This window comes from Homo sapiens, chromosome 15 (assembly GCF_000001405.40).
Source record: "Homo sapiens chromosome 15, GRCh38.p14 Primary Assembly".
In the NCBI taxonomy this organism is placed as follows: domain Eukaryota; kingdom Metazoa; phylum Chordata; class Mammalia; order Primates; family Hominidae; genus Homo; species Homo sapiens.
In genome coordinates, this window is record NC_000015.10 from 21,175,320 (window position 1) to 21,190,747 (window position 15,428).

The 15,428-nt window shown below is 43.6% G+C and overlaps 1 long non-coding RNA gene across 2 annotated transcripts; it reads left to right on the plus strand.

Annotated features, from left to right (window-relative positions):
* Positions 1 to 4,594: 4,594 nt before the first annotated feature.
* Positions 4,595 to 14,545, plus strand: LOC105379205 (uncharacterized). 2 transcript variants are annotated; one of them, XR_948839.4, is made up of 3 exons: positions 4,595 to 4,697; positions 5,394 to 5,552; positions 14,373 to 14,545. It is a non-coding gene; the product is annotated as an uncharacterized LOC105379205 (long non-coding RNA). The 2 variants fall into 2 exon arrangements; XR_001751426.2 differs by lacking the exon at positions 14,373 to 14,545 and adding an exon at positions 11,685 to 11,864.
* Positions 14,546 to 15,428: the final 883 nt, after the last annotated feature.

Below are 15,428 nucleotides of genomic sequence, written 5' to 3' on the forward strand. Positions count from 1 at the left end.
GCTGGTCACTCCGCGCCACGCCCCGTGCGCCAACACCGGAAGGTGAATGTTCAGAACATTTTTATCATTTAAAGCCAGTATACCGGCTGGGCGCGGTGGCTTACACCTGTAATCCCAGCTACTTGGGAGGCCCAGGCAGGAAGATCCGATTGAGCCCAGGAGTTCCAGAGCACCCTGGGCAACATGGCAAGACCCTATCTCTACAAAAAAAAAAAAAAAAAAGCCGGGCGTGGTGGTGCGCACCTGTGGTCCCAGCAACTCGGGAGGCTGAGGCGGGAGGATGACCTGAATTCAGTAGGTCTCCAGCCTGGGCGACAGAGCGAGACCCTGTTTACTAATAAATAAAGCCAGTGTACCTAAAATACCATCATAACATGGAATCAGTATAAAAATGATTATTGAACTACTTGACATTCCTGTTTTGTGCTAAGTCTTTGAAATTTGGTGTAGTGTTTTGTTTTCTTTTCTCTTTTGAGACAGAGTTTCCCTCTTGTTGCCCGGGCTGGAGTGCAATGGAATGATCTCAGCTCACTGAAACCTCAGCCTCCCAGGTTCAAGCGATTCTCCTGCCTCAGCCTCTGGAGTAGCTGGGATTACAGGTGCCCGCCACCACGCCCGGCTAATTTTTTTGTATTTTTAGTAGAGACAGGGTTTCGTCATGTTGGCCAGGCTGGTCTCGAACCCCTGACCTCAGGTGTTCCGCCTACCTCAACCTCCCAAAGTGCTAGGACCACAGGCATGAGCCACTGTGCCCGGCCCGGTGTGTACTCTTATAACACCTCTCAATTCAGGTCTAAATTTTGTGGGAAATAATCTATATTTAGGTTTCACAGTATTCACAGTTGAAAAAATAGATGTATATCCCCTTGTTTCAAATGTAACTGAACCTAGTCCCTTGTTTGAAATTCAAATTAATTGAAATTAAAAATTTCCAGTTCTCGGCAGCAGTTGCACATTTCAAGGGCTCAATGGCCCCATGTGGCAGTGGTCCCGTAGAGGACGGCACAGCTCTAGACATGGTGTAGGAAGTTGGAGAAGGCTTCCTTAGGGAAGCAAGTGACGGTTGAGCCATGACCAGAAGTTGGTTAACTTGGCAAAGGCTGGGAGTTGGGGAAGCAGAAGAGTGTGTCAAGCACAGGAATGTTATGTGGAAAGGCCTGTGACACAGGGCATCATGACGCCTGCAAGCCAGCGTAGCTGGAGCCAGGACAGCGGCAGAGTCCTAGGAGCTGGGGAGGAAAATAGAGAGGCAGGGGATGAGGCCGCCTTAAGATGCTATCTTCATCCCAAGACACCAGGAAGCCCTGAGAGAACATTTAACCGGGACAGCATGGTCAGATTTTCATTTTTCAAAAAGCCCCTTTGCTACTGGGTGGAGATAGTTTGCAGGGAGTTCAGGGGGAGGAGGCACAGAGAGGGAGAAGTGGTGGGTGCTAGAGCTCTGAGAGGTAACATTGGAGGGGTAGTGGGTCTGGGGGTTGTGAGGAACAAGGGGTTTTCGGGGAGTACCCCAGGGCCCCCAGGTGTCTGGCTGGGATGCCAGGTGGAGTGATGGGCACCTGTGGGACAGCCAGGTAGAGACATCTGAGGCGGCAGCTGGGGAACTGTCTGGAACTCCGGTTGATGTGCTACCTGGGCTTAAGATGTACTCCCAAGAGTTACCAACACCTACACTTGGGAGTGGGTACATTATCCAGGGAGGAGCCAAGATTGAACACAGGTGGGTTTTTGTTCAGCATTTTAAAAATTTTTAATTTTTTTTTGTAGAGACAAGGTCTCACTATGTTGCCCAGGCTGGCCTCAAGAGATCCTCCTGCCTTGGCCTCCCAAAGGGCTGGGATTACAGGCGTGAGCCACCGGTCCCAGTCTGTTCAGCACTTTTTCCACTAGCTTAGTATCTCCACACACCTCAAAGAGATCACCAAGTCCAACTCATACATGCAAACCAGTGCTCAGGAAGTCCACATGATCCTGCTGTGGTTCATTTGACCAAAACCGAGTGGTGGAGCTAAGCAAGGCTGTTTCACAGAAGCCAGATATATAAGTGGCCTCAATACGGAGGGCAGTCTCCATCTCCCAGTGTCTCTGACTGCTGCACGCACACTTGGCAACCTGTGCTCAGGTCAGGGATAGTCTGGGTGGGGGCTCCAGTTTCTGCCACTCACCAGTGATGTGACTCTGGGCAATGTACAAAATCTCTTGGGTTTTAAGTTTCTTATCTGTAAGATGGGGATAATAAACCAATCTTGCAGCATGTGAGGATTTAATGAGACTACAGTTCCCATGAAGGGGATGGGGTGCCAACCTTCCCACACAGTCAAAAATCCACATATAGGCCAGGTGTGGTGGCTCACGCTTGTAATCCCAGCACTTGGGGAAGCTGAGGTGGGTAGATCATGAGGTCAGGAGTTTGAGACCAGCCTGATCAACATGGTGAAACCCCGGCTCTACTAAAAATACAAAAATTAGGTGTGGTGGTGCGCACCTGTAATCCCAGCTACTCAGGAGGCTGAGGCAGGAGAATTGCTTGGACCCAGGAGGTGGAGGTTGCAGTGAGCTGAGATCTCACCACTGCACTCCAGCCTGCAGGACAGAGCAAGACTCTGTCTCAAAAAAAAAAAAAAAAATCCACATATAACTTTCAACTCACCACAACTTTTGTTAATAGCCTACTATTGGCCAGAAGCCTTACCAATAACATAAACACTCAACACATATTTTGCATGTGATTTGTATTGTATACTGTATTCTTACAATGAAGTAAGCTACAGAAAAGAAAAAGTACTAATAAAATCATAAGGAAGAGAATGTATTCACTATCACTAAATGGAAGTGGATCATCATAAAGGTTTTCATCCATATCGTCTTCACATTGAGTAGGCTGAAGAAGAGAAGAGGTTGGTCCTGTCATCTCAGGGATGGCAGAGGCAGAAAAGGTCAGGGAGATGGGAAGGAAGTCAGGAGATGCACACACACTGAGAAATTCATCGTTATTTCTGTCTGACATTTTTGCTTTTTCATTTCTCTAAATATGTTTCTTTATGTTACCAATCCTTCTTCCACCATTTGCTTTAGTTTTGGTGTCCGTACCATAGAAAGGTCCATGTGGTAGAAGTCACAAGTAGTCTTGAATAATCAGAACTCCTCTGCCAGATTGTCGAATGTCAACTTATTTTCTGGCACTGCATCTACATCCTCTTCCTCATCATCTGGCACTGATTCGAAAACACTCATCTCCATCAAGTGGTCTTCTGTTAATTCCTCTGGTGTGATGTCTCTTCACTCTTGAATTTCTCCAAGATCCATATCCTGAAAGCCTACATTCCCCACCTTTTTTGCCACAGGCACACTCTCTTTCATGATTTCCTTGATTGGCCCTGTTGTAAATCGGGACCAGTTTTCTCCAGTAGGAAGGCTGGGCACTGAGAGCCTTCGAACCTTCTGCTTCACCTTTTGACATATAGGGCCCAATTTTAATGCATTTAAATGTTGCCTCCACTCCAAAATGAATATGGGACGTATGTAATGTGTGAAATAGGTGTGTCTCACCCCCTTCATGAATATTAATAGAGCCTTCTATAATCTGTTGAATATGTACGTTTAGCCAACCCTTTCAGCATAACTTCCTGTCTCATCTTTCCCTGGAAGTGCCTGCTTTTGGTCTTTGCTGGAGGCTACACTTCCCAGCCTGTCAAGATGGCCAGCCTGCAGGCTGCAACCTTTCTAAGAAATAAAGCTTTTGGGCTGGCCCAGTGGCTCACGCCTGTAATCCCAGCACTTTGAGAGGCTGAGTTGGGTGGATCACTTGAGACCAGGAGTTTGAGCCCAGCCTGGCCAACATGGCGAAACCCCATCTCTACCTAGAAAAAAATACAAAAATTAACCAGATGTAGTGGCATGTGCCTGTCTTCCCAGCTAATCGGGTGGCTGAGGCAGGAGAATTGCTTGAACCTGAGAGGCAAAGGTTGCAGTGAACTGAGATCGCACCACTGCACTCCAGCCTGGATGATAGAGCTAGACTCTGTCAGACAAAAAAAAAAAAGAAAGAAAATAAGGCTCTTGGCCTGGCACAGCGGCTCATGCCTGTAATCTCAGCACTTTAGAAGGTCGAGGTGGGAGGATTGCTTGAGTTCAAGAGTTCGAGACCAGCTGGGCAAGATAGTGGGACCCCTGTCTCTACAAAAACAAGTTTGAAAATTAGCCAGGCATGGTGGCACACACCTGTAGTTCCAGCTACTTGGGAGGCTGAGGTGGGAGATTGCCTGAGCCCAGGAGGTTGAGGCTGCAGTTAGTCATGATTGTGCCACTGTACTTTAGCCTCTCCAAATTTGTAGATCTCATAATTTTAAGTCACCAACCTCCACCAGTCTCATTTTAGGTTGTCATATAATGACATCAGTTTTTCTTGAATCATATTAGAGTCTATAGATATGCTTTTCTTGTAGATATCCTTCACCCAGATAAAAGCTGCGTTTTCTCTATTTCTCTGTCCTTCCTTCCTTCTTTCATCTTTTTTTTTTTCACCCTGACAGAGCCTCGCTTCCAGGCTGGAGTGCAGTTGTGTGATCTTGGCTTACTGCAGCCTCCACCTCTTGGGCTCAAGTGATCCTCCTGCCTCGGTCTCCCAAAGTACTGGGATTAAAGGCATGAGCTACTACATCCAGCCAAAAGCTACATTTTCAAGACTAGATAAAAAGGTATTTGGCAAAAAGAGCAAAGTTTCATGTCTGCTAGCATGGCTGCAGTGATGACACTGCGAATTTCCTTTTCTTATTTTACAGCGGTTCTTAGGCTGGATTAATTTATCTTGAAATGGTGGGCAACCACAGCTGCAGACCTCAGTCTACAGTACATATCAATCAATCCATCTTTTTCTTGTACTGTCTTTTCTCTGCTTCTTGGCAGCACTTCCAGCATCACTAGTGGCATTTCGTACATGTCTTCTTCAGGTTTATTGTATTGCACTAAACATGAAAAATACATGAGAACCACAAGAGATTACTTTTCACTGTGATACACAATCTACAGGAGAGACAAGTGCTCACGTGGAGATGGCTAGTGTCACATGGCATTTTAAGTGGACACTGGACACCTGAGCTCACTGCAATAGTAGCAGGAGGGGTGACAGAATTATTACAGTAGTACAGTGGGCTCCCATTAATTTATGCAATTATGACTTAATACTGCATCTTTACATTTGTTTACATTTCTCTTGACTGGCACCATGTACTGTGTTTGTGTGCATAACTTTTGATAAATTTTAACTGTTTATAATTGATATATGTATGTTTATAAATGATATATGTATGTTTTATGGTGGTAAATGATAAAAATATGCTAGTATTTTATGCATTCATGACATACCTTTTTCTTAACTTTTTCAATATTTCTAGGCTACAAGGTTCATCTGCAAGTTTCTTCAAATGGTTGCAATGCTTAGTGCAACCTCCATCTCCTAGGCTCCAGTGATCCTCCTGCCTCAGCCTCCCAAAGTGCTGGGATTACAAGCATGAGCTACTACATCTGTCCAAAAGCTGCATTTCCAAGACCAGGTAAAAAGGCATTTGGCCAAAAGAGCAAGGTTTCACATCTGCTGGCATGGCTGATGTGAAATTTTCCAATACATTTTTCCAATATATTTATTGAAAAAAAAAGTGGACCAGGTGTGGTGGTTCATGCCTGTGATCCCAGCAATTTGGGAGGCCAAGGTTGGGAGGGTTACTTGAGTCCTGGAGTTCAAGACCAGTCTGAGCAACATAGCAAGACCCCGTGTGTGTTGTTTTTTTTTTTTTTTTTTTTTGAGACGGAATTTCGCTCTTGTTGCTCAGACTGGAGTTCAGTGGCATGATCTCGGCTCACTGCAACCTCCACCTCCTGGGTTCAAGTGATTCTCCTGCCTCAGCCTTCTGAGTAGCTGGGACCACAGGTGCATGCCACCACACCCAGATTTTTTTTTTTTTTGTATTTTTAGTAGAGATGAGGTTTCACTATGTTGGCCAAGATGTTCTCAATCTCCTGACCTCGTGATCTGCCCATCTTGGCCTCCCAAAGTGCTGGGATTACAGGCATGAGCCATTACGCCTGGCCAACCCCATGTCTATTTAAGAAGATTTAATTTAAAAAAGAAATTTTTTTAAGAAAAAATCTGTATGTAGGTGGACCCATGTAGTTCAGACTTGTGTTGTTCAAGGGTCACAACTGTACCTGTGGTGACTGATACGAAACAGATGACCAAAAAATGATAGTTTTATTTCCCCATCTGGTCCCATTTAAAAGAGGTGTTTAGGTCTGAGAATTTTCACACGTACAAGGTTCCACAGTCAGGATGCCGAGGAATGGCACCCCTCTTGCTGGAGTCCAGCCCTCCCCACCCAACCCTGCTGACTGCTGATTTGCCTTCTATCCCTGTCACGCCATTGTCTCAGGAAGGTCATGTGAGTGGAGATATGCAGCATGGGCTCTTTGTAACTGGCTGCTTTCGCTAAGCATCATGTTTTTGAGATCCACCCCAATGCTCTGTGTGTCAGTGACATGTTCCTTTCAATTGTGGAATGGTGTTAGCCTACACAGGGAGACACAGGTGGTTACCTCTTCAGCCATGGGAGGACGTGTGGTTGTGTCCAGATTTAGGCGATTATGCATAGAGTTGCCATAAACATTTCTGCAGAGGTTTTCATGTGAACACAAATTTTCCTTACTCCAGGAAAATTCGTTATGGGACTGCTGGGCCATGTGGTTTAACAGAACTGTCAAACTGCTTTCCAGTGGCACCTCACTATGGTTTTGATTTGCATTTCCCTAGTGATTAGTGTCGATGGTCTCTCATAGGCTTTCTGTCTTCCACATAGAGCGTCCTCTTCAGTGAGGGTCCAAGTCTTTTACCCACTTTTGTTTGGATGGTTTTCTAACTTGATTTTAAGAGTTCTTTATATATGTCAGACTACTTTCTTCGTTGGATATGTGGTTTGTAGATATTCTCTCCCAGCCTATAGCTGTCTTTTCAGTGTCTTTTAATAGTGTCTTTTGCAAAGCTATATTTTTTATTTTGATCAAGTCTAATTGACGGATTTTTGTTTTTACATGCATTTGGCATCATGTCTAAGAACAATTTCCCTAACCTCAATTAATGAAGATTTCTTCCTATGTTTTCTTCCAAAACTTTAAACACTCTCTCTCTCTATCTCTCTCAGCAAATAAGGAGGAAAGTTTCATGACAATTGCAGTCCTGGTTTCTGTAGCTGGTCACATGGTCCTATAACTACCTTCTTGCACTCCCCAGTCTGTATTCCCTTTGCCTTCAGGAAGCCTCCACTGGTTGTGGTTTTTAACCTGGTGGGGGAACCTTCATTCCTGAAGGTTCTGGACCATTATTAATCCTGCCGAGATTGGGCTGTTGTGCTTTTCCATTGATCTTAATCACAGCGCATGCCACGAGGGCCCTCCTGTACCCCAGACATGCTCTTCCTCAGTCCATTGTGAAGCAGCAGGGCAGTTTCTCCTTGGTGATCTGGACCAGCCACCCCCACCAGCGTAGTTAACTCCTTCTTTACCTGTTGATCCAGAGGCATGAGGAGCTTGGTGCCACCAGATGGCAGCCTAAACTTCCAGCGCAATGGATCATCCCTCTGTCTTTTGGCGGCAGCATTCCTCCCTCTGGAACTAAGACCTCTAGGCCAGCAGAGCATAAGGTGGTGGGGACAAGGAGCAAAACTTTTGCTAGTGGGTCACTAGGGGTGATGGGGTTTCACCCTGTTGGCCAGGCTGGTCTCAAACTCCTGATCTCAAATGATCCACTCGCCTCGGCCTCCCAAAATTCTGGGATTACGAGCGTGAACTACTGCACCCAGCCTAGTGCTAATCACTTTTTAAAAAGCCATTCTAATATGTAGTGATGTCTCATTGTGGTTTTAATTTCAACTTTCCTAATGGCTAATGTTGCTGACCATCCTTTCATGTACAAAGAATATTTGCTTTGGTCAAATATCTGTTCATGTCATTTGCGCATTTTTAATTTGATTACTTATTTATTTTATGTTGAGTTCTGAGAGTTCTTTATTCTTGACACAAGTTCTTTGTCAGATATGTGATTTGCAAATATTTTCTCTCATTCTGTAACTTATCTTTCCATCATCCCAATTGCGTCTTTTGCAGAGCAAAAAAAAATTTAATTTTGATGAGGTCCAATTTATCAATTTTTTCTTTTATAAATTGTATTTTGATGTCAAGTCTAAGGGCTCTGCCTAGTCCCTGATCCTGAAGATTTTCTTCTTTTTTTTTTCCTGAAAATATTACAGTTTGACATTTAAGCCCATGATCCTTGTGTTATGTTTTGTATAAAATGTGAAGGTCAGGCCAAGCCTCATCTCCTTGCCTATGGATGTCTGATTGTTCCTGCAGCACTTGCTGAAAGGGCTATCAGTCCTCTACTAAACTGCTGTTGCATCTTTCTCAAAAATTAATTAAGCATATTTCTGGGGTGGGATCTCTATCTTGCACCAGTAATTAATGTGTCTCTCCCTCCACCAGCACCATACTGAGTTGATTACTGTAGTTGTAGAGTAAGCTTTAATAATTGGTACAGTGATTTCTTCTATTTAATTATTCTTTTTCAGAATTGTTTCAGCTAAACTAGGTCCACTTCCTTTTAATATAAAGTTTACAATAAGTTTGCATATGTATACAAAAAACAATGCCAAGATTTAGAATTCTATTAAACCTGCAATTTGAAGGAAGCTGACATCTATGTTGAGAATTCCCATCCCTGAATATGGCATGACTCTCCATTTATGTAGATGTTTGATTTCTTTCAGCAGAATTTTGTAATTTGCATATATTCTCCTGTATATGTTTTATTAGATTTATTCCTACATATTAATACTTCATGTATTTTGAGCAGTTGTAAATGGTATTGCAGTTTTTATTTTGGTTTCCACTTGTTTATTGTTACCATAGAGAGATGTAATTTGTGTATGTGTGTTATTCTTGTGTATTGCAGCCTTGATATTCTCACTCTTTATATCAAGGATTTTTTTTTTGTTCCATGGGACTGTTTATGTAGATGATTATGCCACATGCAAGTAGTGATAGTTTTCTTTCTTTCTTTTCAATCTGCATACTTTTTATTTCTTTTTCTGGTCTTATTACACTGGTTAGAACTTCTAGTACTATCTTGAATTAAAATGGTGAAAGGGAACATTCTTGCCTTGTTCCTGCTCTTAAGGGGAAAGCATTCATTCTTTCACCATTAAGTGTGATGTTAACTGTAGATTTTTGTAAATGCTCTTTATGAAGTTGGAGGAAATTACCCTCTATTCCAAGTTTGCTAAGAGTTTATATCATGAATGGGTTTTGAATTTTGTCAAAACCTTTTCCTATGTCAATTGATAAGATCATTATGATTTTTCTTCAGTTTACAAAACAGAATATGTGGATTGGCTTTTCAAATATTAAAACAGTCTTGCATAACTTGAGTGAAATTCCTCTTGATTGTGGTCTACTACTCTTTTTATGCATCACTAAATTTGATTTGCTGACACTGTCTTGAGGATTTTTCCATCTAAGCTTATGAGCAAAATCAGCCTGCAAGGTTCTTTCCTCTGTCCCTGCCTCCTTCCTCCCTCCCTTCCTTCCTTCCTTTGTGCTGTCTTTGTTTTGTTTTGATATCAAAATAATGATATCATAGTCCTTTCTCTTCTATTTTCTGGAAGAGACTGTGTAAAACTGGTGTTGATTCTTCTTTAAATATTTGGTAAATTCTCCAGTGAAACCACTGGGTCTGGATATATTGTGTTCAGGAGCTTTTTAGTTACAAATCCAATTTATATAATGATTATAGGACTATTCAGGCTTTTATATATTTCATCTTTTCTGAGTTGTGGTAATTTGTGGTTTTCAAGGAATTGATCCATTTTTTCCTAGGCTGTCAAATGTATGAGCATAAAATTTTTATAGCATTTTTCATAGATGCAGCCTCTTTTGTGATATTTCTTGTTTCATTCCTGATATTGCTGATTTGTGTGTTATCTCCTTTTATCTTTGTTGATCATGCTAGAGGATTATCAGTTTTATTAATTTTTTGAAGAACCTGTTTTTTATTTCCTTAATGTTCTGCATTGCTTTCCTGTTTTTAATTTCATCAATTTCTGCTCTTCGCTTTCCGTCCTATTTGCCTTAACTTTATTTTACTATTCCTCTTTTAGTTTTTTGACTACTGGTTTGAGAACTTTCCATATTACTAATATAAGGATTTAGTGCTATAAATTTCTCTCTCAGCTCTGCTATAGCTGAATCCCTCAATTGTTTTTTAAGACAGGGTCTCATTCTGTCACCGAAGCTGGAGTGCAGTAGCACAATCTCCACTCGCTGCAGCCTCAACCTTCTGGGCTCAAGCAATCCTCCCTATCTCAGCCTCCCAAGTAACTGGGACTACAGGTGCATGCCACCACACCTGGATAATTTTTTGCAGAGATAGGGATTTCACCATGTTGCCCAGGCTAGTCTTGAACTCCTGGGCTCAAAAAGCGATCCACCTGCCACAGCCTCCCAAAGTGCTGGGATTACAGGAGTAAGCCATTGCACCCAGCCTCATCCACAAATTTTGATATGCCATATTTTCATTGTTACTTGCTTTTTAAAAATTCCCTTTGAGACTTCTTCTTGTCCACATTGTATATAAATGTTTACTGCTTAATTTCCAAGTGTTTGCAGATTTTTCTCTTGTCTTTCTGCAATTTATTTCCAGTTTGATTCCATTTTGGTCAGAGGACACTCTTTGTATGATTTCAGTTTTTAAAAATTTGTTAAGGTTTGTTTTAAGATCTAGAGTCTGTTCTATAAGAGCTTGAAAATAATGCATAGTTTGCTGTTGATGGATAGAGTTTTCCATAAATGTTAATTTTACCCTATTGGCTAATAATATTGTTTAGTTATCCTATATTCTTGCTGATTTTTTTTCTAGTAATTTTACAAATTCTGAAAGTGAGATGTCGACATATCCCAACTATAATTATGGATTTTTCTATTTCTTTTTTAAGCTCTATCAGGTTTTGCTTCATGTGTTTTGAAGCTGTGTTGTTTGGTGCACATATATTTAGGATCAAGATATACTCTTGCTCTTTTGTTATTATGTAATATTCCTCTTTTGTTCTAGAAATTCTTTTTGCCATGAACTCTATCTGATATTATTATAGCAACTCCTGCTTTTTTAAAAGTTCCTGTTTGTTTGCATGAAATTTTTTTTTCTGTTCTTTTTTTTTTTTTTTTTTTTTTTTTTTTTGAGACGGAGTCTCGCTCTGTCGCCCAGGCTGGAGTGCAGTGGCGCGATCTCGGCTCACTGCAAGCTCCGCCTCCCGGGTTCACGCCATTCTCCTGCCTCAGCCTCCCGAGTAGCTGGGACTACAGGCGCCCGCTACCACGCCCGGCTAATTTTTTGTATTTTTAGTAGAGATGGGGTTTCACCGTGTTAGCCAGGATGGTGTCGATCTCCTGACCTCGTGATCCGCCCACCTCGGCCTCCCAAAGTGCTGGGATTACAGGCGTGAGCCACCGCGCCCGGCCTTTTTTCTGTTCTTTCACTTCGAATCTGTTAAAAACCTATGCCATGGTATTAGAACTGAATATCTTATGGACATCATATAATGGGTCATATTTTTGCATTTACTCTGCTATTTCTGTGTTTTTCCCAGATTTAACCAAACTGCAAAGTCTGAGGGCATGGTTCCTAAAATTTCCCTCATTCCTGACACCAACAGCAAGTTTTAGAGGTTTCCAAAGCACCCTAAGTTTCAATCATTTGCTGGAAGAACTCACAGAAGTCATTGAAAACTGCTGTACACATGGTTACTGTTTACTGCAGGGAAAGGATACAAATCAGAACCAGCACAGAGAGCAGGGCTAGGAGGGTCTGTGAAGCCTCTGTTGTCCTCAGGTGCATTACTCTCCCAGCATCCACGTGTGACAATACCATGAAGCACTGCCAACCTAGGAACCTCACCCAAGCCTTGGTGTCCGGAGTGTTTCCTGGAACTGCATTGTGCAGCCATAATTGACTGATCTGTTGGAGACTGGTTGGAACTCTGTCTTCATCTCTCCCTTTCCCGGAATCTGGGGCTGACAGCACATTCCTGGGAGGGCCCACCATGAGCCAGCTGGTAGCATAAACTTCAGGTATAGTCTGAGGGACCCACCATGAATAGCAAAGACCCTCCTGTCACATGGTCTTCAGGACTACTTGCCAGGAGCCAGGACAAAGGCTAGACCTCTTCTTTGGGCTAGGCCAAATTCTTTACCACACAGAAATCATATTTAGGATTCAAATGTGCCATTTTTATTTGCTTTCTGCATGTTTCTTATGTTTCCTTTATTCTGTTTTGTTTCACTTGTCATGGATTACTTAAACAGTTTTTAGCATTTCATTTTGAATTATTTATACTTTTGGGTGCATTGCTTTGTATCGTTTTCTAAGTGGCTGCTCTAGGATTGATTATAATATACCCATGTAACTTATCACAGCCTGCTGGCATCAATGTTTCACCACTTCATGAGAAATATCAAAAGCTTACTTTTATTTACTTCCCCTTTTCCTCCCCCACTTAAACATGTAATTATCATAAATATTTCCTGTTCAGATGTAGAGCACCGCAGCAGATGATGTTAATATTTTTTGCTTCAACCATAAAATACAATTTAAGAAACTCATCATAGTCTATTATACTTACCATATGATTACCCCTTCTGTTGTTGCTATTTCTGATTTCCTTATTTCCTTTTCGTTAGTAGAGCTTCCTTCAGCCATTTATTAAGGGTAGGTTTTCTGGTAACAAATTATCCTAGTTGTCCTTCCTCTTAGAATATCTTTATTTCCCCCTCATCCCTGAAGGATACGTTCACTGAATAGGGTTCTGGGCAGACAGTTTTTCTCAGCACCTGGTGATGGTGTGTCGCCCCCTCTGCCTCGTGGTTTTAGAGAAGCCCACCATCCTCAGAACCAGCGTCCCTTAATGCATCGTTTTTCTCTGGTGGTTTAAAAGATTTTTTTCTTCATCTTTCCTTTCCTGAAGTTCCGTTATGATGTGTTTATCCTATTTGGGGTTTGCTCAGATTCTTGAATCTGCAGGTTTACTTCTTTCACCAAATTTGGGACATCTTCAACCACTGTGCCTTTGAATACTTTTTCACCACACATTCCTTCCTCTCCTCCTGGGACTCTGGTGACAGGAACGCTGGGCCTTTTGTCACTGTCCCACCCATCCCCGAGGAGGCGTTCATTTCTCAGTCTCCTATCTCTCCATCGTTCCTATGGGCCAGCTCTATTAATTGTCCTTGAATCAAGAGACTCTGTTCTCTGTCGTCTCCACTCTGCTATTGTACCCAACTGCACATTTTTTCATTTAGTTATTGTATTTTTCAGTTGTATGATTTTCATTTTGTTCTTGTTTCAAGAAAATTCACCATTGTTTTCTGAAGCACTTTTATGATGGCTGCTTTAAAGTTCTAACATCTGATTTATCTTGGTTAATCTTATTTTGCTATTTAAGTTGTTTTTTGTTTTGCTCTGTTATGTTTTTGAGACAGAGTCTTACTCTGATGCTCAGACTGGTGTGCAGTAGCATGATCTCGGCTCACTGCAGCCTCAAACTGCCGGGCTCAAGCAGTCCTCCTGCTTCAGCCTCCTAAGTAGCTGGCACCACAGGTGTGTGCCACCACAGGTGTGTGCCACCACAGCTGGCTAATTTTTAAATTGTTTGTAGAGACAGGGTCATGCTGTGTTGCCCAGGCAGATCTCAAACTCCCGGGCTCAAGCCATCCTCCTGATTGACCTTCCAAAGTGCTGGGATTACAGGTGGGAGCCCCCTCACCAGGCTTCAAGTTGCTTTTTATGTTTCCTGATATGACAAATAATTTCAAATATGTTCTGGAGATTTCGGTTATTATGTAAGGAAACTTTTTATCCTATTTGAACATTCCAGTTCAGTCCATGGTACCCTTATTTGGTTTACCATATAGGCCCCAGCCTGCTTTAGGGGAAATGTAGAGTCAATGACAATTTAGTTTTCAAAGCCCTCCCAGTGCTATTCTGGTCTCGTTTGTTCTTCTGGATCTGCTGGGGCTCTGGTTCAATCCCTGTGCATGTTGCTGGGGTTGCCCTGTGCGGCGGGGGTAGGTTAAGGAAACGCCGGGTGCTGGGTGTGGTCTCTGCGCCGTGGTCAGCAGAGCCTTTGTGGCCTGGGTGTGATGCTGAGGGCCAGGCTTGAGCGGAGCTGCTGTGGCATGGATCAGTAGGAATCTCCTCACTGGGTCTTCAGTGAGATACCCTTCTCAGTCCTTTCACCAGAGAAAATAGGCTCGTTTTCTTTTCTTTTTTGTCCCTGCAGGTTTTGGCAGTTACAGGTTGCAGGGTTCTCTGGGCCCATCCAGGAGATGAGAGAAAAAGAAAACTCAGGGCCTTGTACAGCGTCACCCCCAAAGTCCCGAGGTTCCTGGACAGCCTTTCTTCCTCTACACTTCCTAGAGTCCTCTTATGTCTGTTAAATTTTTTCCAGGGTGTCTAGTTGTATTTAGAGGGCAGATGCCACCTCGTCATAGAATGCCAGGGTCCACTCTCCAGGCATTTGGAACGAGTTGCCACGAGGTCCTCGGGAGGGTGTGACAGTTCACACGCCCACCAGCAGCTTTCCACGTCTCCATTTCCTCTGCCCCTGACAGCATCTAATGTTATGATTTTTGTTTGTAAATTTGGCTTTTGGTTCCTTTATGAGGGGATTAATTAATACAGGCTGCTGGCTCCTTCCCACGAATCCAAACCTTGGAGATGCCATCAAAGGGATGACAGTTGATGGAGCCCAGAACCTAAGAGGACCCCTGAGAGCCTTGCGGAGGCTGGGCAAACGTGGTGGAGTCTGGGACAGGAGGGGAATCACAGTCTGAGTGGAGGAGGCCACACAGCACAACCGGGGCCAGACTGCAGCTCTCTGCTCCGGGGCCCACCTGGGGCTGTCATCTGCCAGCCCTGCTTTCCTGTAGAAGATCCCACCCGTACCAGCCCCAGGAATCTAGGCAAGGCCAGAGCACCTCAGGAGCCTCCTGGAGTGAGGGCCACGACACCTGGGCAGGCTGGCTGGTGGCCCCTGGGCAGCCTTCCTCCCCAGCCCAAGGACAGCCAATTACAGCACAGGGCAGCCCTGGACAGACAGCACCAGCTAGAAGGACAGGGGCGTTCCCTGCAGACCAGAGCAGCCCCCGGGGATGAGCAAAGAGGGCCCCAGTCATCCTGCCAGAGGCTCTGCCCCCAGGAGCCCCTGCCTGCCTCCCTGAAGCCCACAAGGAAGGTGTCAACTGGGGCCTAAGACGAAGGCAGTTGACCATACCCAGGGAACAGAGAGCGGCCTGAGGAAACGAGACAGCGAGGGGAGTGAACTCCGGGAGGGAAA